This window comes from Homo sapiens, chromosome 2, assembly GCF_000001405.40.
Source record: "Homo sapiens chromosome 2, GRCh38.p14 Primary Assembly".
NCBI classification, from domain to species: domain Eukaryota; kingdom Metazoa; phylum Chordata; class Mammalia; order Primates; family Hominidae; genus Homo; species Homo sapiens.
This window is the reverse complement of record NC_000002.12, coordinates 98,751,907-98,777,563: the sequence shown is the minus strand read 5'-3', so window position 1 is coordinate 98,777,563 and position 25,657 is coordinate 98,751,907. Positions and strand designations below refer to the sequence as shown.

Below are 25,657 nucleotides of genomic sequence, written 5' to 3'. Positions count from 1 at the left end.
CAAACAGAATAAAAATGGAGCAGGAAGGAGGATTTGCCATCTCTCTGTCTGATGCTTGCCATCTTCCCCCAGTGCTCCTGCTTTTCAGGCCTTCAGACTCAATCTACACCATTGACCCTCCAACTCTTAGGCCTCTGAATTAACCACCAGCTTTCCTGAGTCTCCAGCTTGCAGACAGCAGATTGTGGGACTTCTCAGCCTCCATACTCACGTGAACCAATACCGTATAATAAATCTCTTCATATGCAGTCATGCATTGTTTAACAATGAGGATACATTCTGAAACACGCATTGTTAGGCAATTAAGTCATTGTGTGGACATCATAGAACGCACTTAAACAAGCCTATAGGCTTTGTGGTGTAGCCTGTTGCTCCTGGGCTACAAACCTATACAGCACGATACTGTACTGAACACTCTAGGCAATGTAACACAATGGTAAGTATTTGTGTATCTAAACATAGAAAAGGCACAGTAAGGCTGGGCGCAGTGGCTCATGCCTGTAATCCCAGCACTTGAGGTTGGGAGTTTGAGACCAGCCTGGCCAAAATCAGGAAACCTCATCTTTTCTAAAAATACAAAAATTAGCTGGATGTGGTGGTGCACTCCTGTAGTCCCAGATACTCAGGAGGCTGAGGCAAAAGAATCGCTTGAACCCAGGAGCCAGGAGGCAGAGGTTGCAGTGAGCCGAGATCACCCCACTGCACTCCAGCCTGGGGAACAGAGAGAGAGACTCCATCTCAAAAAAAAAAAAAAAAGAGAGAGAAAAGGCACAATAAAAATACTGTTGCATATGTGGCCTGTCATTCACCAAAACATTGTTATACAGTACATAATTGTATATCTATATGCTACTGGTTCTGTTTCTCTGAGAATCTAGACTAATATACCACCTAATGGTGATCTCTAATGTTGCAAGGACAATAACTATCTTATCTGTCCTCACACATTTTATTGCAAAGTGACATTGTGTGTTGTCCAGACTGAGAATTTACCAGCTATAATTTCCCCCCACTTCAGAAACAGATTGGCAAATCATGATCAACAAAAACTATGCTCACTGAGAGAAGTCACCCACTGTTCAGACACAGGAGTGAGACTCTGGGGGCAGGAGGGCATCCAGGAGGAATATACAATGACTTTCCCTTTAAACACAGAAGCTGGAACAAGGCTCTGGGTTTAATCTGACTTGGAATTGCCTCTGTGGTTCTCAGCCAGCTCTGAGGAAGTTAAGAACCCACCCTTGCCTGTTCAAGGCTGGCTTCCAGCTCAGGAGGAAGGCTAGGGGGTGAGAATTAGGAATCCCCCACCAAAACACACACACATGCACGCACACACAAACACACATGTCCAAAGCTGACTGTTTTTCTCTGGGATTGTATTTCAAGGCCTCTGAAGTCATCAAAGTCTCTAAAACACAGGTGGTCATGGGGCTTTTCATGATAAACTTTTGGAATCTTCTCCCCTCATTAAAACCAAACCACAGTTCTGCAGGGCTTCTCCGAGAGCCAGCCTGATGGGACCCAAGTCCATGAAGGCTTCCTCCATTACCAGTGAGCAGCCTACAGGGACCCCAAGCGTGACCTGGGGTGGGGCCAGAGGGCAGGCCAGGCACTCTCGGCCTCCCGAGACCTTTCTCATGCCTAGCGTACTCCGCAGGCACCTTGATGCCTAGTGAGCGAGGAATCCAGCTTAGCAAAGAACAGGCACAGACATTTCCTGCTTGATTGGAATCGTTAATACTCGGTTCCAGGAACCTGACAAGCTCTGCTTCGCTTGGCACCTAGCACAGTCCCAGATGGTAAATCTTCCCTGTCACCACCATTGTAACTCCCCAGAGGGGTCCTGGAATTGCTCCAGGAGGCCTTGTGCCAACTGCTAAATCCCAATGTCCCCTTCTCGTCGTCTCACCACAGCAGTTCACGGTCCAAGACCCTCGATGCTTCCATGAAGAGGCAGATCGGCACCTTGTTGCATGCAGCCAAACCATACATGAGTGCACAATACAAAAATGATGATAGATTTGAGCTCAGTGGGTGAGAGGCAGCAGCTGTGTGTTTACTCAAGGTGAGTTTGGAAAAGCTACATGGCATGGTCAGGCTTTTGAGACTTGTTTGAAATGTGGCCGGAAAAGGGGAGGCTGACGTGGGAGGAAGAAATGGGCACGTGTCCCTGGCATCCGCTGCGAGTCCTCCTGCCTCCCTGAGAACACAGTGCACAGCATCCGGGAGAGACTGGCCAGGACTTGGTGTTCAGTTACCTCCAACACCAAAGACAGTTGGACTTGCATTCCCTGGGGCCAGCTCACAAGCTTCAGAGAGCTCACAGCATAATGTCTTCTTCTGACACATGCTCACTGAACATCCACCATGAGCCAGGCACTGGGTAAGCACTGAGGAAACACGGGGCTAGTGACAAGGATGTCTCTGCCCCCAGTGGGCTGTCAGCTCACTGGGCAGAGGAGTTGGGCAAGTCCTGGGGCAGAGACAGAACGGCCCTTCCATGCAGGGCACATGGCGGTCACCACCGCCAGAGGATCTGCTGGAGTAAGCAGGAGAAGCCCTGCTGAGGTCTGGATGTTGATGTCCCCCCAAATTCCTATGTTGAAGCCTAACACCCGTGTGCTGGTGTTAGGAGGTGGGGCGTTTGAGAGCTGGTTAGGTCATGAGGGTGGGGCCCTGATGAATGGGATAGGTTCCTACAAGAAGAGGCCCCAGGGAGCCCCCTCGCCCCTTCCACCATGGGAGGACACAGACAGAAGTCACCATCTATGAACCAGAAATTGGGCCCTCACCAGACACTAAATCTGCCCCTTAATCATGAACTTCCAGACCTCCAGAAGTGTGAAAAATAAGCATGTTGTTTATAGGCCACACAGTCTATGGTATTTCAGTATTGAAGCCCGAACCACCCAAGGCAGGTATGGCATCCACCATCTTGCAGGAAGTGGATGAAGGGGAGGGGCAAGGGAGGGTGGAGGAGGGGAGCCGGCGCTGAGACCCAAACCAAGAGCAAGGGCAAGCTGAGGGGCGGGGGCATTGTTGGAGACCATGCTTAGGCATTTAGAATTTATTCTAAAATCCATGAAAACTTGCTGAAAATTTTTGTTTTCATCTATGTGACATTGCTATCATCTGTATGCTAACAACTCCCACCTTTATTTCCTCCCAGACCTCTGTTCTGAACGCCATGTGCCTCCCCTGGTCTCTGGAAGTCCAGTAGGCACCTGTACATCTAGACACCTCCCCTGCACACAAATCTGCTCTTCCTATGACAGTCCCTGTGTCATTGTCATAAGAGATACATTTGATTCTCCACCCTGGTTCTGGCACGAGAACTCTAAAAGCCTTGGGATTTCCTAAGAGATGAGGGTGAGAGGAATGTCTTTTGTTATTCAAGATGAGCCCCTTCTAACCATACCTGAGTTTATAGTGAGCTCCTAGAGAGCCTCAGGTGGGAGTGGTTGCCACAGGAACCAACCTCGTGACTACAGGGTTAGCACTTTCAGCTCCCCCGTCTCCCTTCCAAGGAGATGAGAAGGACTGGAGGTTGAGGTACATACCAATGCCCAGTGTTTTAATCTACCATGCCTAAGGGATGTGACCTCCACAAAACTCTTCAGGGACAGGGCTGGAGAGCTTCCGGGCTGGTGAGCACAGGGAGGTGCTGGGATGGTGGCGCATCCAGAGAGAGCCTGGACACTCCGCAACAGTCACCCCGATGCCTTGCCCAGGGCAGTCCTTCTCTGCTGCCCCTGAGTTACATCCTAATCATAAACCAGTATGTGTAAGTAAAATGTTTTCCTGAGTTCTGTGAGCTGTTCTAAACCTGAGGAGCAGTTTGTGGGAACCACCAGTTTGTAGTCCATTGGTCAGACGTCTGGGAGGCCTAGGCCTTGCAACTGGCCTCTGAAGTGGGGGCAGCCTTGCAGGACAGAGCTCTTAACCTGTAGGACCTGAGGCTGATGGATGGTGTCAAAACTGAATTGAATCGTAGGACAACCAGTTGGTGTCGGGAGAGCTGGAGAACTGGTTAGTGTGAGGTAAAAACCCACACACTTGGTGTCAGAAGTTAGAACAGAAATGATTCAAAGTCCCTGTGTCAGTGAATGCTTTGTCTCCGCCTGGATGCCTGTGCCAGGCACCTGGGAATCACCACACACCCTCCACATTCGGTGCGTGCCCTTGTCTGTGGGTTCCGCTCCACAAGCCACCACAAATGTATCCAGGTCTGTGCACCTCTGCTCTCACCAGCCTGGCCCCAGCCTGGCCCCAGCCCAGCCTCCCTGAGCCACTGCAGCAGTCTCCCAGAGGCTCAAAAGTGGTGCTTAAGACTTGCATTTGAGAAAGATGGGTTTTGGATAAATGTGGAGGATGGACTGGGGGCCAGTGAGAAGGGGACAAGGGATAGTTTCAGCAACCCGTTCCTTCATGTGTTCACTGAAGTCATGATGCACCGTGAGGGCCTGCTGTGGGCCAAAGCCTGGGAGGGGACTGGGGATAGAGAATGGAGTGTCACCCACAGAGAGAAGAGGTTCATTGGGCGGGGAGACGGCTGAAGTTGCCAAGAGAGAGCTCAAAGGGAGGCAGGGCTGAGGCCAGAAACCCTAAGGGATGGATCAAGGAGAGGAATTGAGGAAGGACAGAGAGCAGGAGCATATGGACAGAGGAGAGGCAGAAGCCGGGCTCTGCAGGGCTGTGGAAGCTGGAGGAGTAGGTTGTCCCAGAGTCCCGTACCCCTGGGGATCCAGGAAGGTAAGAGGGAAGTCAGCAACAAGGAGGTGGGAGAGGTTCCTCGGCATGTGGGGCGGAAGCCAGACTGTGGTGATTGAGAAATGTGTAGGGGTGGAAAAGTGGCTGCAAGGCACGACCACAGGCGGGAGAGCCGACTGTGAAATCTGCAGGAATTTTCTGAGCCAGGCGCCAAACACAGCCAGTGTTAAAAATTAAATGATGAAAACTTACAGTTAAATAGGTTACATAGAGACAAAGCAATAAATACTGAAAACTCATCTCTTCCTAGTTTGTTACCTTCTACCAATAGCTATTCCCCTGAGATAATGTCCATCCATTGTGTCCCTGTGGTGAGAATGCTATATGTGAGTGATTACTCACGTCTATGCATCTCTTCCAACTCTGCGTGTCGTGTTATCTCACTGGTGGCTTGAAATTGGCTGTGATGGGAGTATTTACACCACAGAAACCAGCAAATTCCTCAAATCAGACCTTTTTATTCCCAGAGAGTCAGTTGTGAAACGTTTACCAGCACCACTGGAGGAGTGAGATCAGAGCACTTTCAGTAAGAGAGCAGTGGCACGTTAGCAAATGGAAGGGAGAAAAAGACAGCAGCAAACGTGGACAGGTTTGCGGGCTTTGTGGCAGGGAAGTGAGCGCGTTGCCTCTGATGACTTTCATTTCTCTCAGTTACACTGAGGTGAGGCCAACTGCTCTGTGTGTGGAAGCCAGAGAAGAAAGCAGCACAGAACAGATGCAAACCAAGGAGGCTGGAAGATAAGAGCAGAGCCATCAGGACACGAGCCCCTCGCGGGTATGAAACAGGAGTCGTGGGAGCAAATTAGTAGGTGCACTGCATGGAGGGACGGAAGGGGCAGGGAGGAGCATCTGAATGTAAGATTTCAGAGAAGCTCATTTTGTCAGCATTTCAGAGCTTCCTGTGTGCAGCATGGATCTAAAGCTGGTGGATGCAGGGGGGTGAACAAGACAACATCTTCACTTCCTGCATGCTGATGGCAGAAGTGAGACATCAGCGAAGAAACATCACGATCACCAAATTACGATGAACACCATGGAGGAAACAAAGGACACTGTGACACCAAGGAAGGAAGGGAGGTTACTTTTCATAGTGGCTGTAAATAGAACTGAAGGCTGAAAAACAGCTGTTAAAATGGCTTGTTTGTTTGAAGATGAATGAGAGTACACAATAAAAGGTAATTCTCCCTCCCATCCCCAATGCCAGCTTCCCTGTTTCTCTCCCCAGAAGCAGCCATGGTTCATCACATCCATTTCCAGAGGTATCCTAGGAGCAAGCTGTATGAGGAACCGGGGAAAGAGGAGCATGTGCAAAGGCCCTGGGGTGGAAAGGGCCTGCTGTGCTCTGAGCTGCAGCAGAGCTTCTCAAGCCTTAATTTGCATTTGAATCACCCAGGGATCTTGCTGAAATCCTGATTCCTGATTCAGTAGGTCTGGAGAGGGCTTGAGATTTCTAACAAGCTCCAGGTAATGCTGAGGTGCCTGATCCAGATCTCACTTAGAGTATTAAATAAAGTCCTAGGGGATCGTTAGAGATCAATCCAGCCAGAAATGTCATAGGAGAGGGAAGAACAGGTCAAGACAGGGCTGCACAGACAGGTGGGGCGGCTCAGTCGGGGTCTCTGTGCAGTAAGAAGCGTGGGTGTTATTCTAAGTGCGACAGGAACTCACTGAAAAGCTTTGTGCAGACTGGGGTTGGGAGTGGCGTTACATGATCTACTTATTCTTTCTAAATCACTCTATCTGCTGGTTGGGCAGGCAAAGTGACAGTGGGAGATCCACTGGGAGGCTACTGCACAAATCTCAGCCAGAGGTGACAGTGACAGGACCCATGTGATGACCGGGAAGATGGACGGAAGTGGGCAGACCCCAGGGGTATTTTTTTTTTTTTTTTTTTGAGACGGAGTCTTGCTCTGTCACCCAGGCTGGAGTGCGGTGGCGCGATCCTGGCTCACTGCAAGCTCCGCCTCCCAGGTTCACATCATTCTCCTGCCTCAGCCTCCTGAGTAGCTGGGACTACAGGCGCCCACCACCACGCCCGGCTAATTTCGTGTGTGTGTGTGTGTGTGTGTGTGTGTGTGTGTGTGTGTGTGTGTTTGGTAGAGATGGGGTTTCACCGTGTTAGCCAGGATGGTCTCGATCTCCTGACCTCATGATCCGCCCACCTCGGCCTCCCAGAGTGCTGGGATGACAGGCGTGAGCCACCGCGCCCGGCCCCTAGGGGTATTTTTAAGGTGGAACCGAAAGAACTCATGGATGGGTTGGATATGGGGAGTGAGGGAAAAGGAAGCATCAAGGACGCCTCTTGGGGTTGTGTCTTGAGCAAGCGAGCAGCCTGGGCCAGCATTTACTGAGGCGGAGGGAGGAGCAGGGAGATTGAGAAGCCTGCACGTCACCAAGCAGAGATGTCAAGAAGACCTCGGGGCGGGGGTGGGGGGGGGGGGCGGGGGGCAGGGGCGTGGGCATGTGTGAGGCTGGGGCTCCGAGGAAGGTCTTGGCGTGGAATATAAGTTGGGAGTTGTCAGTAGAGGCATTTTCCAAGGCTATGAGAATGTGCTGTAGAGAAGAGCAGGAGCTCTAGGATGAACCCTGATGGGCATGATCCCTAGGGATTGGGTAGAAGAACAAGCGACCAGAGGGGCGCGGAGGGAGGCTGCAGGCGGCTTTGCCAGCAGGATTTGAAATGAGGAGATTTTATCAGGGCTAACTCAAAGGGTTTGCATTTCACCTTTTGCCCCCTCTTGCATAAATGGCGTCATTTGAAAAGAGAAGAGACGGGAAGGAGGGGGAGTCAGGAACGCGGGCGAAGCGCATCTGCCTGGTTCTGGTGAGACCAGCCCGGCAACTGTCAAGTCATCCCTGCTTAATAACACCTGCTGGAAGGACAAAGGAAAGAGCTGCTGGCACCGAGTCACATGTCCACACAAACCACAGAGCGGGCCGTAGATGCCAAGCCCTTCCCCTTCCCACCCTGTACCTGTTCTTCATGTTAATCTATTACTCTAATAATTTATTCATTGTGTAGCAAATGATCATTTTCCTATCATTTGTTTATTACTATTTTTACTTTCATTATCACGTTAGATTTTCACACATGGGAGCATATGGGGGACATATTTGTTTATTAGTTTATAACCTAAAATGAATATTTTATACAGGAACATTTTAAACAGAGGCAGAAAAACCCTTAACCCAATTTTATCTTATGCTAAAATTTCATTATCACCAATTCTCAGGCCTCCAAGCACTGTGCAAACAATCCTCGAGGAATGGGTGTTATCAATTATTAATAACTATTAAATTAGCATGGAGTTTGATTTTCCCCTAAGTATGTTTCATAACTGCAGAGCAGAGAAAGAGCCTCTGCTCCCTTCCGGGTCTCCTGTTCAAATAAACCTGAACCTGGCCCAGGCACCCAGGCATCTTGGAGTGGCCAGCAGTGAGCCCACGGCTGTGCCTCTGCCCTGCAGGGCACCCGGGGCCTGGAAATCCTCCGGGGTGGAAGGATGAACCCTTCTCCCGGGGAATTTCTGGCAGGTGCATGTGATCTTGATATTCTCTGCAAGTGGCAGAAGGAGCTTGTCCCCCTCACCATCTGTTACGGGCTGAATTCTGTCCCTCCAAGATTCAAATGTTGAAACCCTAACCTCCAGACATCCACAATGTGACTGCATTTGGAAATAGGGCCTTTAAAGGTGACTAAATTAAAATGGACTGGTCCTTACTTCAATATGACTGCTCTCCTTATAGGAAAAAAATTTGGACACAGACACACACAGAGGGATGACCACGTGGAGATGCAGGGAGAGGATAGCAGCTACAGGCCAGGGCGAGAGGCCTCAGAGGAAACCAGTCCTGCTGACTCTTTGAACTCGGACTTCCAGCCTCCAGAACTGTGAGAAAATAAATTTCTGTTTTAAGTCATGTGGTCTGTGGTATTTGCTTTGGCAGCCAACACAAACTAACATGCCATCTGCACCCTTCCCTCCCACCGTGTCTGATGCCCTTAGGAACCACTGTCTTCCTTTATCCCAGGATGTCTGCAAGGAAGAAAATGTCCTTTTTCTAGCATTTAGAGGCCACCAACATTGAATAACCACACTGGGGTAGACACAGCGGCGAAGAGATTCCTGCTGTTCCCATCACAGCAGCCTTGGAGATGAGAAGACAGATGGATCTGACCAGAGTGAGTCCCAGCCCGACCTTCTCCCACACACTCTACACATCAGCTATCAAGACTGAGCCAGCCTTGTGAGGGCAGAGTGGGAGGGAGATGAGGCCCAAGGTTCTTAGAATTCACCTGGCCTCATCAGGACCTTCAAGATCTTCCTCTCTTCTCTGCTACCAAAACTGTGTGAGGGGGAAAAAAAGCCAGGGTAAGATTGGAAATTCAGCCACCCACATCCTTGCAGTGACTAACAGCTGTTAAGAGACATTTTATTTGTGTTTTGTTTTGTGACAGAGTCTCCCTCTGTCACCCAGGCTGGAGTGCAGTGGTGCAATCTCAGCTCACTGCAACCTCTGCCTCCTGGCTTTAAGTAATTCTCCTGCCTCTGCCTCCCGAGTAGCTGAGATTACAGGGGCCCGCCACCACACCCTGTTAATTTTTGTATTTTTTAGTAGAGACGGGGTTTCACCATGTTGGCCAGGCTGGTCTCAAACTCCCGACCTCAGGTGATCTTCCTACCTTGGCCTCCCAAAGTTCTGGGATTACAGGTGTGAGCCACTGTGCCCAGCTAAGGGACATTTTAATAAACCCCAAACTGCAAACAGCCTTAAGCTAAAAAATGGTATTCTGAGCATGTATTCTCAGATAGGAAGGTTTAGAAGAGCCCAGCGAAGCTGGCTTAGTGCCCTTCAAGTCACCCCAAAAGAGCTAGCTGCCTGACTGAAGCCAGAGCCTGCCCTCCTTTTAATGTGTACAGCATCTCACGGACTGCCCTGTTTACAGCACCTCTTACGGTTAGATGTGGCCACCACAAGGATGCTCTGCTGTGTTCATGGACAGCATAGCCATGGGGGGGACACGGGCTCTGGGGTCAGATTTGTTTCTGTTTGTGTCTCAGATCTGCGACTTAATATGTGTGACCTCAGCGAGTTACTTATTCCTCCTGTGCCTCAGTTTCCTCATATGCAAAGTGGGATAATAATGGCAACTCCCACATAGGGTTTGCTGAGGATTAAATGAGTGAGTACACGACTGTAGCACGATGTAGGAGTGTTTAATGGCATTATCGTCATGATTAGCTGTGTGGGCCTTGGCTTCCCATCTGTAGCATAGAGCTACCAATACCTACCTATGGCATATTGTTACTTTGGGGATTAAACGAGACGCTGAATGACAAGCACATGGCATATAGGTGCAAGTGTTTGTTCCTTTCCTGCTTCTACCATTTTTTTTCCCGAGACAGAGTCTTGCTCTGCCGCCCAGGCTGGAGTGCAGTGGCTTGATCTCAGCTCACTGCAACCTCCACCTCCCGGGTGCAAGCAATTCTCCTACCTCAGCCTCCTGAGTAGCTGGGATTACAGGCGCCAGCCACCACATCTGGCTAATTTTTGTATTTTTGGTAGAGACGAGGTTTCACCATGTTGGCCAGGCTGGTCTCAAGCTCCTGACTTTGTGATCCACCTGCCTCAGCCTCCCAAAGTGCTGGGATTATAGGCATAAACTATCGCGCCCAGCCTGCCCCTTCTACTATTTTAAGGAACACTGGTGATTCAGTTAACATCTCATCTGGCAGGAACATTCATTGATACCAACATCCTCAACATCTAACCGAGTTGAGTAACCAGAATAACTACCTCCAGGGTCATGCTCTGAGGATTCCAGCTTTATCTGTAGTGAAACTTTCTCTGACAGCCTGCTGATTTCCCCTTCCCAGATACAAAGTCCTTTTGATCACTTACTATGAGTCAGACACGTTCTGAGCTTTATCTCCTTTAATCCTCACCATAACACCATGAGGTAGATATCATCATCCCTGTTTTATAGATGAGAAAAGTTGAGCGTAAAAAGGTTAAAAAAAACTCCAACACTTTGGGAGGCCGAGGTGAGTGGATCACCTGAGGTCAGGAATTCGAGACCAGCCTGGCCAACACGGTGAAACCCCGTCTCTACTAAAAATACAAAAAAATTAGCCATGCGTGGTGCTGGGAGCCTGTAATCCCAGCTACTCGGGAGGCTGAGGCGGGAGAATTGCTTGAACCTGGGAGGCGGAGGTTGCAGTGAGCCAAGGTTGCACCATTGCACTTCAGCCTGGGCAACAAGAGCAAAACTTCGTCTCCAAAAAAAAAAAAAAAAGGTTGAAGAAACTTGTCCAAGGTCACATTGCTGGTGCAGGTCACACCCCTGTCATAAAACCAGGGGATTTCCGACTCCCAAGCCCAGCCTTGAACCTCTGTGGTTTCCAGAACCAGAGCTGATGGGGAGCAGCTGATACCATAGAAGCTGTCACAGGCAGGCATGGGGACAGGAAGGAGAGCAGACGGTGGAGTAGCAGAGTGTCCCAAGCTAGTCCAGGAGGGGCAAAGGATCCTATGGAGACAAAGAGGGACTGATCATCATTTTGAGCCAGGCCCACCCACTGTCCTCCCTTCCTCATCCTTGTTCAGGTGCTGTCTCTTTCTGTTTTCCGAACATTGCCAACAACTTTGTTTAAAAACGGGCTTTATTGTGATGTATTTCACACACCGTACGATTCACCCATTTACAGTGTACCACGGAGTCGTTTTTTAATATATTCATGGTTGTGTATCCACCACTACAATCAGCAGTGCATTATCATTGCCCCAGATGTCATTAGAACACCATCATTACCCCACACTAGCCACTGTGCCCCAGTACCCCCAGCCCCAGGCAGCCACTAATCTACTTTCTGTCTTTGCAGACTTGCCTATTCTGGACATTTCATATAAATGGAATGATACAAATGTATGGTCCTTTGGGACTGATGTCTTTCACTTAGCACAATGTTTTCAAGGCCTAGTTTTAAAGTAAATTTAAAAATGGTTAAAGGTCAATGTGTAGTGCTTGGCACAAAGTAGAGAGGCTCAGTAAATTCTTATTGAATTGAAATACAATTTTTTTTTTTTTTTTTTTGAGATGGTGCTTCACTCTGTCACCCAGGCTGGAGTGCAGTGGTGCAATCTTGGCTCACTGCAGGCTCGACCTCCCGCATTCAAGCGATTCTCCTGCCTCGGTCTCTTGAGTGGCTGGGATTACAGGCGTGCACCACCATGCCCAGCTAATTTTTGTATTCTTAGTGGTGACGGGGTTTCACCATGTTGGCAGGGCTGGTCTCGAATTCCTGACCTCAAGTGATCCGCCTGCTTTGGCCTCCCAAAGTGCTGGGATTACAGGCTGAAATAGAATTTCCGATCATAAGTAATTGACCCGAGTCATCAATAAAAGGCTACATTATATTTGTCACATTCTTTTTTTTTTTGAGACAGGATTTCACTTTGATATGCAGACTATAGTATAGTGGTGCCAACTTGGCTCACTGCAGCCTCAACCCCCTGGGCTCAAGCAATCCTCCTGCTTCAGCCCCCCAAGTAGCTGGGACCACAGGTGTGTACCATCTTGCCTGGCTAATTTTTGTATTTTTTGTAGAGACAGAGTTTCACCATGTTGCCCAGGCTGGTCTCAACCTCCTGAGCTCAAGGGATCTGCCTGCCTTGGCCTCTCAAAGTTTTGGAATTACAGGCATGAGCCACTGCACCCATCCCATCCCATTTTTTTTTTTTGAGATGGAGTTTTGCTGTTGTTGCCCAGGCTGGAGTGCAGTGGCGCAATCTTGGCTCACTGCAACCTCCGCTTCCCAGACTCAAGCAAGTCTCCTGCCTCAGCCTCCCGAGTAGCTGGGATTATAGGCATGCGCCACCATGCCCGGCTAATTTTGTATTTTTGGTAGAGACCAGGTTTCACCATGTTGGTCAGGCCGGTCTCAAATTCTTGACCTCAGGTGATCCACCTGCCTCGGCCTCCCGAACTGCTGGGATTACAGGCATGAGCCACCACACCTGGCCCATCACATTCTTTAAAAAGCGGAGAACTGATTAACACATTCTTGAAAATGTGGAGCAAATGTTGCATGACCAAGTGTTTCTTAATCAGTTTCCTGAAATTGCAGCTGTCTTCTTTCAATTCCCATAAAAGTGCTTTAACATTTTTTATACTAATACTGTAGTTCCTCAAATTTTGACTTCTGAGCACCAATAAGGAAATGTGGAGAGAAGGGACATTGCTACACAGTTGGTAGGAATGGAAATTAGTATAACTATCATGGAAAACAGTATGGAGCTTCCTCAAAAAATTAAAAATTGAACTACCATACACATCCAAAGGAAATGAAATCAGTATATCGATTGGGGGTGCTGGCTCAGACCTGTCATCCTAGCACTTTGGGAAACTGAGGTAGGAGGATCATTTGAGTTCAGGGGTTCAAGTCCAGGGGTCTCCCTATGTTGCTCAGGCAGGTGGATCACCTGAGGTCAAGAATTTGAGACCAGCCTGACCAACATGGTGAGCAACATAGGGAGACCTCATTTCTACTAACAATTTAAAAATTAGCTGAGTTTGGTGGTGCACACCTGTGGTCTCAGCTACTCAGAAGGCTGAGGCAGGAGGATTGCCTGAACTTGGGAGGTCGAGGCTGCAGTGAGCCCTAAGCATGCCACCGCACTCCAGCCTGGATAACAGAATAAGATCCTGTTTCAAAATTTTCTTTTTGATTGATTTCTGAAAAGAAATCAGCATGGCAAAGAGTTATCTGCACTTACATGTTCACTGCAGCATTATGCACAATAGCCAAGATATAAAATCAACCTATGTGTGTATCAATGGATAAATGGATTTTTAAAATGTGGTATATAAATGCAATGAAATGCTATTCAGCCTTAGAAAACAAGGGAATCCTGTTATTTACAACAACGTGGATGAAGCTGTGGACATTTTGCTAAGTGAAATAAGCTAGGCACAGAAAGGGAAATACCACATTATTTCATTCATAAGAGAAACCTAAAAACCTCAAACTCATAACAGCAAAGTGGAATGGTGGTTAACAGGGAGTCAGGGCAGAGGTGATGGGGAATGCCTTTAATGGCCAGAGAATACCAATTTTCAGTTAGGCAGAAGTTCAAGAGGTCTATTATACAGCACGGTGTCTATAGTTAATAACAATGTATTGTATGCTTGAAATGTGCTGAGAGTAGATTGCATATGTTAATTAGTGTGATTTAGTCATTTCACAATGTAAACATATATAAAACACGTAGTACATCATAAATATATATAATTTCTATTTGTCAATTGAAAAACAGTCGTCTGGACCTGCTTCCTGTCACATAGGTCAATTTGCATCTTTTTTTTTTTTTTTTTTTTTTTTTGAGACTAGCGTCTCACTCTGCTGCCCAGGTTGGAGTGCAGTGGTGCCATCCGGGCTCACTGCAGCCTTGAACTTCTGGCCTCAGATGATCCTCTGGCCTCAGCCTCTCATGTGGCTGGGGCCATATGTACTCACCACACCACCTGGCTAATTTTTAAAGTTTTTGTAGAGCTGGGTCTCTTGTTAGTTGCCCAGGCTGACCTCAAACTCTGGGGCTCAAGCGATCCTCCTGCCTCAGCCTCCCAAAGCCCTGGGATTACTGGTGTGAGTTGCCACACCTGGCCTAATCTGTGTCTTTATCAATACTATAGGAAACGAAAAAGAAAAAACAAAGAACTAAACAAACTACCCCTTAGACTCAAATAGCCAATTACTGAAACTGAATTTGACTCGCGGATTCTGGTTACTTGTGCATATAGCCCAGGTTTCTTTGGGACCCCAGGGCTTGTCATCAAAGACAAAGTATCTAGTTGAATGGGGGAGATCATTAGGAGGCAGTGGCAAGCCCCAGAAAAGAAAGTGTCCCACCGTTGGGAGGCACATGGGGAGGCGGGTGGGAGTTCAGTCACGCCTGGCAGAGGATGTATGGAGGCAGGTCCCTCATGCCTTTAACTGCTCCACTGCTGCCTTACAACAAAGGAGAGACCTTCCAGACCCTCATCTGGCATCCTTCCCCTCTTTTCTCCTGAGCCCTGACATTCTGGCAATGCTTCGGCAACACAGAAGATAAAGCGTGGAGAGGGAGACTCAGCCACATTTTCTTACAGATGAGGGTGTGTGGCTGGAAAAGGGCCATTATCGACTCCTGTTCTCGCTTCCCCTCCTCTCTCAGAGTCTGGAGAACTTCGAGAAAAAAGGAGGAGGACACAAAAGGAAATAACAAAAAAGATGCATCCGGAGCAACTATGAGGATGGTAAATTGGTGTCTAATTCTGAAAATCATAATTGGTATAAATGCTATGTACTGTGGAAGGAGGGATGAAGGGTAGAGGGAATAAAAAAGAACATGAAGTTAGAATCCTTGGCATGAAAGCCTGCCATTTATACAAGCAAACAAACAAGATCAGGGACTATCAACTGGCTGGCTGAATTGGACCAATAGGCAGGTTTATTCAGCCCCACACTTCAAAAATTAGGAGATCTCCAAATTAAAATCTGGGAATCTGACCTTTTGTAACAAATCAGAGGATTTGCAACACCAAGAGCATCATCACAGGCAACGACCAGCTTGGATGGGCAGCGGCTGCCCCTGCAGGTGGGTCAGGTGCTCTTCCGTTGGACACAGTCTCCACCACTCCCTGTCGCTTGCTCCTTGCTCCCCATCAGCATAACTGTTTGGGCCTTATAGCATATGCATTTATCACTCCCTACTAGGACGTCCACAACATGAAATGAGAGAACGATTTGGTAAGTTCAACAAAAGGCATATTATGCAGCCACCATACATTCTTTGTGGAAAGAGAAGTGGCATAAATCAATTCATAAATTATCTCAAGTTGTTTCCTCTGGAGTCCTGGGCTGGCTGTTGGATGAATTCATCTGTCTTCTAGCAGATGGACAAGAAAATTGAATTGTAGTGGCCCATCAGGTGTCGATCGCAGCCTCTGGGTCCGTGTAGGTGAGCCCTCACCACAGAGAGAATGAGAGCTGGCTCTAGGACGGGGTGTTGATCTGTGCACAGCTGCCCGGGAAAGGGCCTAGAGAGAGGAGCTATGGGTCCTGCACTGACATCAGCCTTGAACATGAGGCTGGCGTGGCAGCGGCGGCGGGGTGGGGGGGGACATGAATAATTCATATCGCAACCAGATTGATGCTCAGTGAGCTTCAATAGGAATGAATTACCTTGTGTGCATTTCCTGCCTAAATGTCAGTGTATCTTTTCACAAGCGCCTGGGACGGGTTTATGAATAGGTGCATTCTCTGATGCCTCTGCTTTAGGCAAGGCAGTTTCAGAATCTTGGCTGAGTTTCCAACTTCTGACTTGCTATTTACAAACTGTAATCATAAGATTTCAAGTGACACATGACTGAAAAAAAAAAGCCCTTACTCAGGAGAAATCTGGATGGAAATGGAACAATGGTTTTGAATGTATCTGGATCATGAAATGAAAGTCAGGAGGCTTGAGTGTTCTGCTGAGAAAAAGTGATGGGGGAAGAACATAAACATGTATAGGACACTTACTGTCTTGGGAACTTTATGGGTGTTCTCATTGTTAACATCATTTAACAGATGAGAAAAACAGTTCTCAGACATTGCTGCTAACAGAAATTCAATGCAAGCCACATTTGTAATTTAAGATTTCCTAGTAACCACATTAAAAAAGAGAAAAATAAAAAAGAGACTGAAATTAAATTTAATGGTATATTTTATTTAACTCAGTATATCCAAAATGAACATTTAAATATGCCATTGATATAAAAATTACTGATGAGATATTATGCATATTTTTTCAAAACACGTCTTGGAAGTCCAGGGCATAATTCACTCTTAGAACACATCTCATTTCAGACAGCCACAATGTAAGTGCTCAAAAGCCGCCAGGCGTGGTGGCTCATGCCTGTAATCCCAGCACTTTGGGAGGCCGAGGCGGGCAGATCATATGAGGTCAAGAGTTCGAGACCACCCTGCCCAACAGGGTGAAATCCTGTCCCTGTTAAAAATACAAATATTAGCCAGGAGTGGTGGCAGGCGCCTGTAATCCCAGCTACTCGGGAGGCTGAGGCAGGAGAACTGCTTGAACCTCAGGAGGCAGAGTTGCAGTGAGCCGAGGTTGCACCATTGCACTCCAGCCTGGGAGACAAGAGGGAAACTCTGTCTCAAAAAAAAAACAGACAACAATAAAAAAAAACAAAACAAAACACAAAAACAGGCAGCAGCTCTGACACATGCACTTCAAGCTGCATGGCCTTGGGCAAATTGCTTAACTCCTCTGGTCCCCATTTCCTTATCATAATGTTGAGGAATGATATGTCTTCTCAGTTCCTCCTCGGTCATAGGGTAACAGACAAGCACGGCACAGTGGTCACTGTCACACAACAGCAGGGGATCTATGGGTGCAGGCAAGTGGCAAGATGACATATGTGAAATCATTAAAGTTGTATCTCAGATCCAGATGACAAGGATTGTTAAAGGCTGTTTGCATAACCATATTCAATTTGGGGTGATGCAGAAGGGGTATTCAGGGTCTGGTCAGCTCCCACGGGAGGCTTCCTACAACCTGCCAGGCCTTCACCTGGGCAGGCAGAATGCTAATGCCACCAGCTAGGAGGATGTTCTCAGAGGGACGGAGGAGATGGCAGCTTCTCCAAGTTGATCCCTCAAAACCATGACTTCTCTGAGATTTGTGTCTCAGGCACTCGTTTGCAATGACTACTGTAGCAAAATGACTAGGCACGTGCAAAAATGCTGCATCCAGCTTGTTTGAACAATTGCAGTTGTTCAATTTCATTCAGACCAATTAGGCTATATTTTTAGTATGATTATTCAAAGCATTGGTACTCCTTAGACAAAATCTTAGCTAACAAAAGTTAGCTGGAATGAAAATTTTACAGAAAGTAGAATATCTTTGTTACCAAAGGGAAGTTTATTTTGATAAAATTAAAAAGGCCAGGTACAGAATAACATGCAACTTAAAACTATCACGAGTGGGACAGTGTAGACGTGAGAAGAAGATGCCTTTGGGGCCAATGGGCCTGCATTCACATTTTATTTTTGCCACCCTTTTCTTTGGTGACTTTATTACCTTTAAAATGGGAAAGATACACATGTACCTTCCAAGTTACAGGACGGATTTACATTCTTGGCACCATAAATATTAGTTCCTTTTTTTTCTACATCAGTGAGAAAGGATGTGGTAAAACAGGGGGAAAAAAAATAGGCAAGGCCTTTGTGTTTTTGCTTTTTTTGTGGTCTAATTTCTTTTAACAAATAACAGTTGTTTTTCTGATTAGGAAAGTAACACATTCATTGTAGAACACTTGGAATATTCAGAAAAAAATGTATTTTTTTTTAAATCGCCAGTAATTCTACCACCAGAGATAAATACTATGAATGTTTTTGTTTGCACTAAGCACACCTATGTGATTGGGATAATATTATTACCTAAAGTGTTGTGTTCCACTTTTCATGCATGTGCTCTTTTTACATTCTATTTTATTTTGAGACAGGATCTCACTCTGTCACCCAGGCTGGAGTGCAGTGGTGGCATCACAGCTCACTACAGCCTCAAACTCCTGGGCTCAAGCAATCCTCCCACCTCAGCCTCCCAAGTAGCTGGGACCACAGGTGTGCACCAACACACCTGGTTAATTTTTTGTATTTTTTGTAGAGACAGGGTCTCACTGTGTTGCCCAGGCTGGTCTCCAGCTCCTGGCCTCAAGTGATCCACTTGCCTTGGCCTCCCAGAGTGCTGGGATTGTAAGTGTGTACCACTGTGCCTGGTCTGTACTCTCGTTTTTAAAAAGACTCCTCAAAAACGTTGGAATTTTCCTTATTTTAAAAATACTGTTGAAGAACATAACTTAATGGTTATATAATAATATTTCACTATATTGCTGTACCATGTTTTATTTAGTCCTATTTTTGGACAGCTAGGCTGTCTCCAAATTTTCTCAATACAGAAATTCTACATAATATTCTTGCACACAAATTTTGGTCCACATCTGTTGACGTCTTTAGGATAAGTTCCTAAGAGTGGAATGAGCAACTCTAAGGGTTTTTTAAGTGGTCCTGACTTATATTGCTAAATTACTTTTCCAAAAGATTATGGTAGTTGATGGCCCTACTATGAGTGAATGGTAATTTTTGTACCGTCTGGTCTCAGAACCAAACCATCAGCTACATTTTTAAAATAATGAATTGAGAATGGATGAATTGTAGGCACATATGGGGGTTCTATTTCTCTTTCTATGGGACTCTAGGTATGATTTTCCCATTTTTGTAATTAGGATATACGGCTCCAGGAAATTGAGAGTGAGCCAGATAGTTTCTGGAGAAGTCAACTGTACCGAGGCCAGGAAACACTAGTCATCCCTGAGGGTCAAACACAGTTATGTACTAAGAATGAGGAAGTCCCACACAAAGTGGCAAGATGCTGGGTTAGCCCACAGTCTTAAGAGGGAAACCTGTTCCAGACATGACTTCCGCCCTTGGCAGATGAGGCTTCTGGTTGCCTGCCAATTATAACTAGCTAGAAACAGCATCACGGAGAAACAGTAAAGCAACAGCAAGGTGGCGGCTGGAGACTCGGGCATGAGGCCCAAGGCCAGGAGAGGAGCAGCGGGTGGGAAAAGCCTGAAGGAGGGGCTGGGTCTAGACCAGCTAGCAATCCCACAGCAGCCAATAGCCCAGCCTGCTGGAGAAGAGATTTCTAGAAATGCAAAAGTTTTCACATGCAACCACGAAAGCAGTTCACGGGCGTTCCTGGCACTGTCAGGAGGAAGTCAGGATCACACAGGGTGCACCTGGAAAGCAGCTGCCCTCCCCAAGTTTGACCTGGGCTAGCAGCTGGTACTGCCATGTGGGCTCTGGGTTTTATGAAGTTGCAACACCAGAACCAGGAATTTGGGGAAGATAAAATAGAAACAGAGAAAATATTTATATTTATTTAGACGAGAGATGTGCACAAACCACAAGCCCTGGAGATGCAGGGCGTCTAAACCATTGCCATTATTTCAGTAGCTTTAGGAGAGTTCGCAAGGTAGCTAATGATAAGAAACAGGAGAAAATCATTCTCCAACCCTCACAAACGAAAATGTCTGATCCGAGCACCCGTGGCTGTCTCACTGCTTAACCCTTCCAAAGAATAAACATGAAGTACTCTTCAGTATGGCTATGGGAAGAGCACATCCTGTTGCATTAGGAAACTTTAATTACTAAGTTTGATAAATCAAAGGTTGTCATTTACATGATACATCTTAACTTCAGCAAGAGGTTTAAACTCATCTCACATAAATCACTCAACAACCAGAAAAATACGGTCCTGATGTTGGCATGAGAGAACACACAAAGAATGTTTTCAAAGGCTGATCTTGGGCCAATATAGCTTAAATTTTCATCAGTGATGATAGAGGAGGGTGCAAGAGTAAATGAATAAAAGAGACAACCCAGTATGGGGTTAAAACAGTAACTAGCCATTGAAGATAGGGGGAAGTGAGGGGTAAGTCAACAGAAATCAGTAGTATAGACATATAGAATGAAGTTTGATAGCATCACTTGCCTTTAAAAATGAACAAATTAAGAAAATAACAAATGGAGTGAACACACAGCCTAGTAAAACATTCACTGTCTGGAGTCTCCAAGAATAAGCCACCCTAGGAAGCTAGGTTTCCCATCTGAGAAACCTTAAATAACTAATCTTAGGTTTCATCCATTCGTAATGGAAAGTTTTCAAGAATGTGTCACTCATTTCTCTGCTTTTTTAAAGAATGTGATGGGCCGGGTGTGGTGGCTCGCACCTGTAATCCCAGCATTTTGGGAGGCCGAGGTGGGTGGATCACCTGAGGTCAGGAGTTCAAGACCAGCCTAACCAACATGGTGAAACCCAGTCTCTATTAAAAATACAAAATTAGCTGGGCATGGTGGCACATGCCTGTAATCCCAGCTACTCGGGAGGCTGAAGCAGGAGACTTGCTTGAACCTGAGAGGCAGAGGTTGCAGTGAGCCGAGATTTTCCATGGAGTAAATTTGCTCCATAACTTGTATACGAGAATGATCTAGGGTGCCTGTAGGTTCAGGCAAGTGAGTAGCTAGATTTAAAGTATGCCATACTTTAAGAGTTACATCAGGAGTGTCTAGCAATAAAGCCTGATATTTTAATGAGTCCCCCTGTCATCCACTGGTGTCTTTTAGTTTCTAGGACTCCTTGTACTTGGTGTGGGGTTAAAACCTCCAGATGTTGTCTTAAAGCCAGTTTATTGTTTCATCTACTAAGGCAGTTGCTGCAACTGCCCTGAGGTATCCAGGCCATCTTGAAGTGACATGGTCTAGTCGTTTAGAAAAATATGTCACTGGTCAGGGAATAGCTCCCAATTTCTGGACAAAGACACCTAGGGCAGTGCTTTGTTTTTCAGTCATATAAAGGAAAAGCGGCTTATCAAAATTAGGGATCCCTAGGGCTGGGGTTGATCCCAATTTCTCCTTGAGAGTTTTAAAAACCTGTTCACAATTACTATCCCATTCAAAAGGACCTACATCTGCTCCTTTCAGAGTCTCATCAAAAGGCTTGCCTATATGCCCAAATCCAACTACCCATAAAGAGCAGAATCCTGCCATCCCTAGGAAAGTCCACAGGTGTTTTCTAGTTTGGGGTTTTGGAATGTCCAAGATAGTTTCCCTTCATTCTGGTGTTATTGTCAGGGGTTGGAACTTATTCTGAGTATTTAATCTCTTGAGTTGAAATCTGGGCTTTGTGTGGTGAGACCCTGTACTTACTAGTTCCCAGAAAGTTTAGTAACTGAATGGTATTTTTGTCCAAGTTTCTTTTAGTTGAGCTAGTAACCAACAAGTCACTCACCTATTGGGTAATAGTGTTTTTACTTAATTGTACCATTTTAAATTCTCTAGGTAGTGCATTTTTAAACAGATTAGGGTTGTCCCTAGACCCCTGGGGAAGAACTGTCCAAGTTAATTAAGAAACTAAATGGCTATCAGTATCAGTCTTTTCAAAAGTAAAGATGAATTGTGAATCAGGGTGTACTGGAATGCAAAAAAAAAGGTCCCTGGGCTAACAGCGTGTAGGGATTGGGCACTGTAGTATGTATAGGAATGATAGTCTCATTGACAGCTCAAAGATCTTGAACAAATCTGTAGTCTCCATTTGGCTTTTTAACTGGCAAGATTGGTGTATGACAAGGAGATTCACAGGGCCTTAACAACCCAAACTGCAAAAACTTAGCAATTAGTGGTTGGATCCCTCTTTATGTCTCTGGCTTTAAGGGGTATTGTCTCTTCCATGGGTGTGGGACACCAGGCTTAAGTTGGATGCAAACTGGGGGAAGGTTTAGCATTTTGCCTGTAACTTTAGTGACCCATACTATAGGATTTACTTGGGAGGTTACTTCAACAGGTAAAGTAGGTAAGCCCCTTTGACTCTCCTCCCTTAACAAAGGAAAGGAGAAGGAACAACCCCTAGTCTGTCTTTTGATTTCCAAAAGATACCACTGTTTGCAATTCAGTTAACAATCCCTTCCCAACAAGGGGGTGAAGCATTCAGGTATGATAAGAAAGGCATGTGAGAAAACCAAAGTTGTTAAGGGATAGGTAAAATGGCATTTATGGGCTTGTCCATCTATCCCCGTGACCATACAGTTTTGGGGTGACAGAATCCCATTATAATGGGTCAAAACAGAGCAAGCAGCCCCCATGTCCAAAAGCAAGTTAACAGTCTTACCTGCCACGTCGAGGGTTACCCAGGGCTCCTTCGGAGATATGGCTAGTTGTCCAATGGGAGTTGTGGCAGAAGGTCCCAGGCCCCGTCACTCTTGGGCTTGCCTGGCTATTTCGGCCATCATTAATTTGGGTGCTGATGGCCCCCTTTGGAGCGCTGGGCAGTCCCCCTTCCAATGGCCAGTTTTCTTATAGTGTGTACACCGATTTATGTCCAAGGCACGGAGATGCGGATACCCAGCTTTGGGCTTTTCATCTTTCTGCTTTCCTTGTTCAGACCAAGAGTCAGGAGGGCAACCCCATGTGGGAGGAGAGTTTAAGGCTGCAGTGAAGAGCTGCACCTTGCGGGAGGTGCTTCTTGTTCTTTCTGTTTCCTCTGTTTTTCCCTGTTATTAAAAACTAAAAATGCCACATCCAAAAGTTGTTCCATAGGAGTCTGGGGACCCAGAGTTGATTTTTGTAGTTTTCTACAGATATCATGGGTAGACTGGATTATGAAATGTACTCCCAAAATGGTCTGTCCTTCCCTTGAGGCAGGATCAGTGTTAGTATATTTCCTAATCGCCTCAAATAAATGCCCTTGAAACAAAGCTGGATTCTCATCTTTACCCTGAGAAATTTCTTTAACCTCTTCAATAGTTAACAGGCTTTTTCACAAATTTCTTCATCCCTTCCAACAAACAAGTGACTATATAATCTCTCCTCTCCAAGTCCTCACTGCCCCTTTGATTGTTCTATTCTGGATCTTGATCTGGAACTGTTACACCTCCTACCTAATACATATTATGGTTAGGGTTATGAGCCAATACCTCATCTGTATGGGTCCTAGTTGTCCCCAAAATGTGTTGTTTCTCTTCCACTGTACAGCACAGAGAAAACAAAACATGCAGATCCTGCAATGTTAAACTATGGGTAGGAGTTAATTTCTCAAACTCATCTATGAATTTTCCTGGATCTTTAAAGAAATGACCAAACTTCTCTTCACATAGAGCCAAATCAGACATAGAAAAGGGAACATGTATTCTTGCAGTGACTTCTTCCCCATTTGCAACCTGTGTAAATGGCCAAAGATTTCCCTTTGGAGGTTGATAAGAGGCTCCACTCTAAGTAGTACTTTCAGGGCTAAGTTCCTCAGGGAGTGGTGAGTATAGAGTGGGACTAGACAGGTAAGGAGGAGTGGATGAAGGGTTCTCAATAGAACTTTCAGGTGGACTACAGGGAGAAAGGGCTGACACATCTGAACCTTCAGAGCTGACAGAAGGAGGTTCTGCTCCACCCAAAAATGTCCACTGAACTGTGGGGGCTGTACCAAGGGATCACCTAGTATGTCTGGTTCTTTTTCTTCCTTTTCTCCCATCAAACATGCACATGTCTGCTGCAGGGTTTTATTCTGACTGAGCAGTAAAACACTTGAACATATGGTATTTCATCCCATTTTCCTTCCTGCTTACAAAACAAATTGAGCTGAAGTATAGTATTAAAGGCCACAGTTCCAGTAGGAGGCCATTTCTCTTGTTTTTCTAAATAATACCAAGGCCAAACATATTACACAGAAAGACCAGTTTTCTCTTCTTAAGGCCATTTAGTTTAAACTGGTCCCAATGTTCAAGAATACATCTTGCTGGTGAGTCTTTTGGGATTGACGCCATGATTCCCATGAAGGAGGCAGGTGATATTGCAAAACTTGTGAGATTATATTGTCACTGGCCACATTCACTAAAAAGGATAAAATAAGTTTTCAAGGCCAGCTACATTAATGAGGGGATCTTTGCCAAAAATTGGATTCTCTTATTCAGACTATCTGAACAATAAAATGAGATGAGCCATGAATCTTAGATAATACACAACATGGACTCCAACAAAAGAAATGTCAAATAAGGCAAAGGAAATGCAGAGGATGTAGATGGTGATATAGTTTGGCTGTGTCCCCACCCAAATCTCATCTTGAATTATAGCTCCCATAATTCCCACATGTCATGGGAGGGACCTGGTGGAGGTAACTGAATCATGGAGTGGGTCTTTCCTATGCTGTTCTTGTGATAGTGAGTAAGTCTCATGAGATCTGATGGTTTTATAAAAAGGAGTTCCCCTGCACACACTCTCTTTGTCTGCAGCCATGTAAGACGTGACTTTGCTCTTCCTTCGTCTTCTGCCATGATTGTGATACCTCCTCAGCCATGTGGAACGTGAGTCAATTAAATCTCTTCCCTTTATAAATTACCCAGTCTTGGGTATGTCTTTATTGGCAATATGAGAACAGACTAATAAAGATGGGAATGACCAGAGCACACAGGTTCTGGGCAATAGTGGCACGTGGATTAGACAGGAAAAGACAGTTTGCCCGAATCCAAGAGAGGAAATAAGTGTTTGTTTGTTTAGTGTGCACAATGAAACAAAACAGCAAGGAGAAAAGTCCCCTGATTTCCATCCTAGTGCTTCTCAATCATACCTAGTGGGCATAGCAGCAACAAAACACAATCACATCTATCTAATCTTATTGCGCTTAGCTTAAGCTAGATTTGGTTAAATACCAAATCTCAATCAGCAAGTTTAGAGACAGAACCTTCAGTGCTTTTTTTCCCCAATGTTTCACAAGTAACTGGATGGAAATCAGGAGGCACACGGGGGAAGCGTAACTTAAAATCCCTAGGACCAGTTAAATGAAGTCTCCTGAAAATGACAGTGAAACAGAGACGGCAACCAAGAAATTGATTCATGCAGTGAAGAGGACAAGGCAGATTAATACAAAGAACATAGCAGCTAACACCCCATGGTGCCAAACCGTTCTTAGCCGAAAGGGACTTATACTAGAATCATCTGGAAGATATTAAAAACCAAATGTCTAGGCCACACCCCATATCAATTACATAAGAACCTTTTGAGGTGAGATCCAGGCAGCAATAATTTTTAGAGCTTCTCTGGTGAGAAAACTGGGAACCACTGATTAGGGACTTTACATAACAAGAAATCTGGAGTTAGGCAGTTCAGGGCTGATGTGGCAGCTTCTCAAAGCATTGGCAACCCAGGCTCCTCCTGGTTCTCAACTCCACTGTCCCTGGAGGGTGAGGTCTTTGTCCTCATAGTCATAAAATCACTGCCAAAGCCCCAGACATCAGGTC

The 25,657-nt window shown here is 46.1% G+C and overlaps 1 long non-coding RNA gene across 1 annotated transcript, besides 5 other annotated features; it reads left to right on the top strand.

Annotated features, from left to right (window-relative positions):
- Positions 2,003-2,880: an enhancer, noted in NCBI's record as "H3K27ac-H3K4me1 hESC enhancer chr2:99391147-99392024 (GRCh37/hg19 assembly coordinates)". NCBI's record gives its function as "activates a minimal SCP1, AML or CMV promoter by ChIP-STARR-seq in naive H9 embryonic stem cells {active_cell/tissue: H9 hESC(naive)}" and the evidence as "EXISTENCE:reporter gene assay evidence [ECO:0000049][PMID:30033119]".
- Positions 3,186-3,686: an enhancer, noted in NCBI's record as "H3K4me1 hESC enhancer chr2:99390341-99390841 (GRCh37/hg19 assembly coordinates)". NCBI's record gives its function as "activates a minimal SCP1, AML or CMV promoter by ChIP-STARR-seq in primed H9 embryonic stem cells {active_cell/tissue: H9 hESC(primed)}" and the evidence as "EXISTENCE:reporter gene assay evidence [ECO:0000049][PMID:30033119]".
- Positions 3,687-4,187: an enhancer, noted in NCBI's record as "H3K4me1 hESC enhancer chr2:99389840-99390340 (GRCh37/hg19 assembly coordinates)". NCBI's record gives its function as "activates a minimal SCP1, AML or CMV promoter by ChIP-STARR-seq in naive H9 embryonic stem cells {active_cell/tissue: H9 hESC(naive)}" and the evidence as "EXISTENCE:reporter gene assay evidence [ECO:0000049][PMID:30033119]".
- LINC02611 (long intergenic non-protein coding RNA 2611) lies at positions 5,666-16,501 on the top strand. Its single transcript, NR_126337.1, has 4 exons — positions 5,666-5,945; positions 8,518-8,662; positions 8,778-8,953; positions 14,986-16,501. It is a non-coding gene; the product is annotated as a long intergenic non-protein coding RNA 2611 (long non-coding RNA).
- Positions 6,324-6,824: an enhancer, noted in NCBI's record as "H3K4me1 hESC enhancer chr2:99387203-99387703 (GRCh37/hg19 assembly coordinates)". NCBI's record gives its function as "activates a minimal SCP1, AML or CMV promoter by ChIP-STARR-seq in primed H9 embryonic stem cells {active_cell/tissue: H9 hESC(primed)}" and the evidence as "EXISTENCE:reporter gene assay evidence [ECO:0000049][PMID:30033119]".
- Positions 6,825-7,325: an enhancer, noted in NCBI's record as "H3K4me1 hESC enhancer chr2:99386702-99387202 (GRCh37/hg19 assembly coordinates)". NCBI's record gives its function as "activates a minimal SCP1, AML or CMV promoter by ChIP-STARR-seq in primed H9 embryonic stem cells {active_cell/tissue: H9 hESC(primed)}" and the evidence as "EXISTENCE:reporter gene assay evidence [ECO:0000049][PMID:30033119]".
- Positions 16,502-25,657: the final 9,156 nt, after the last annotated feature.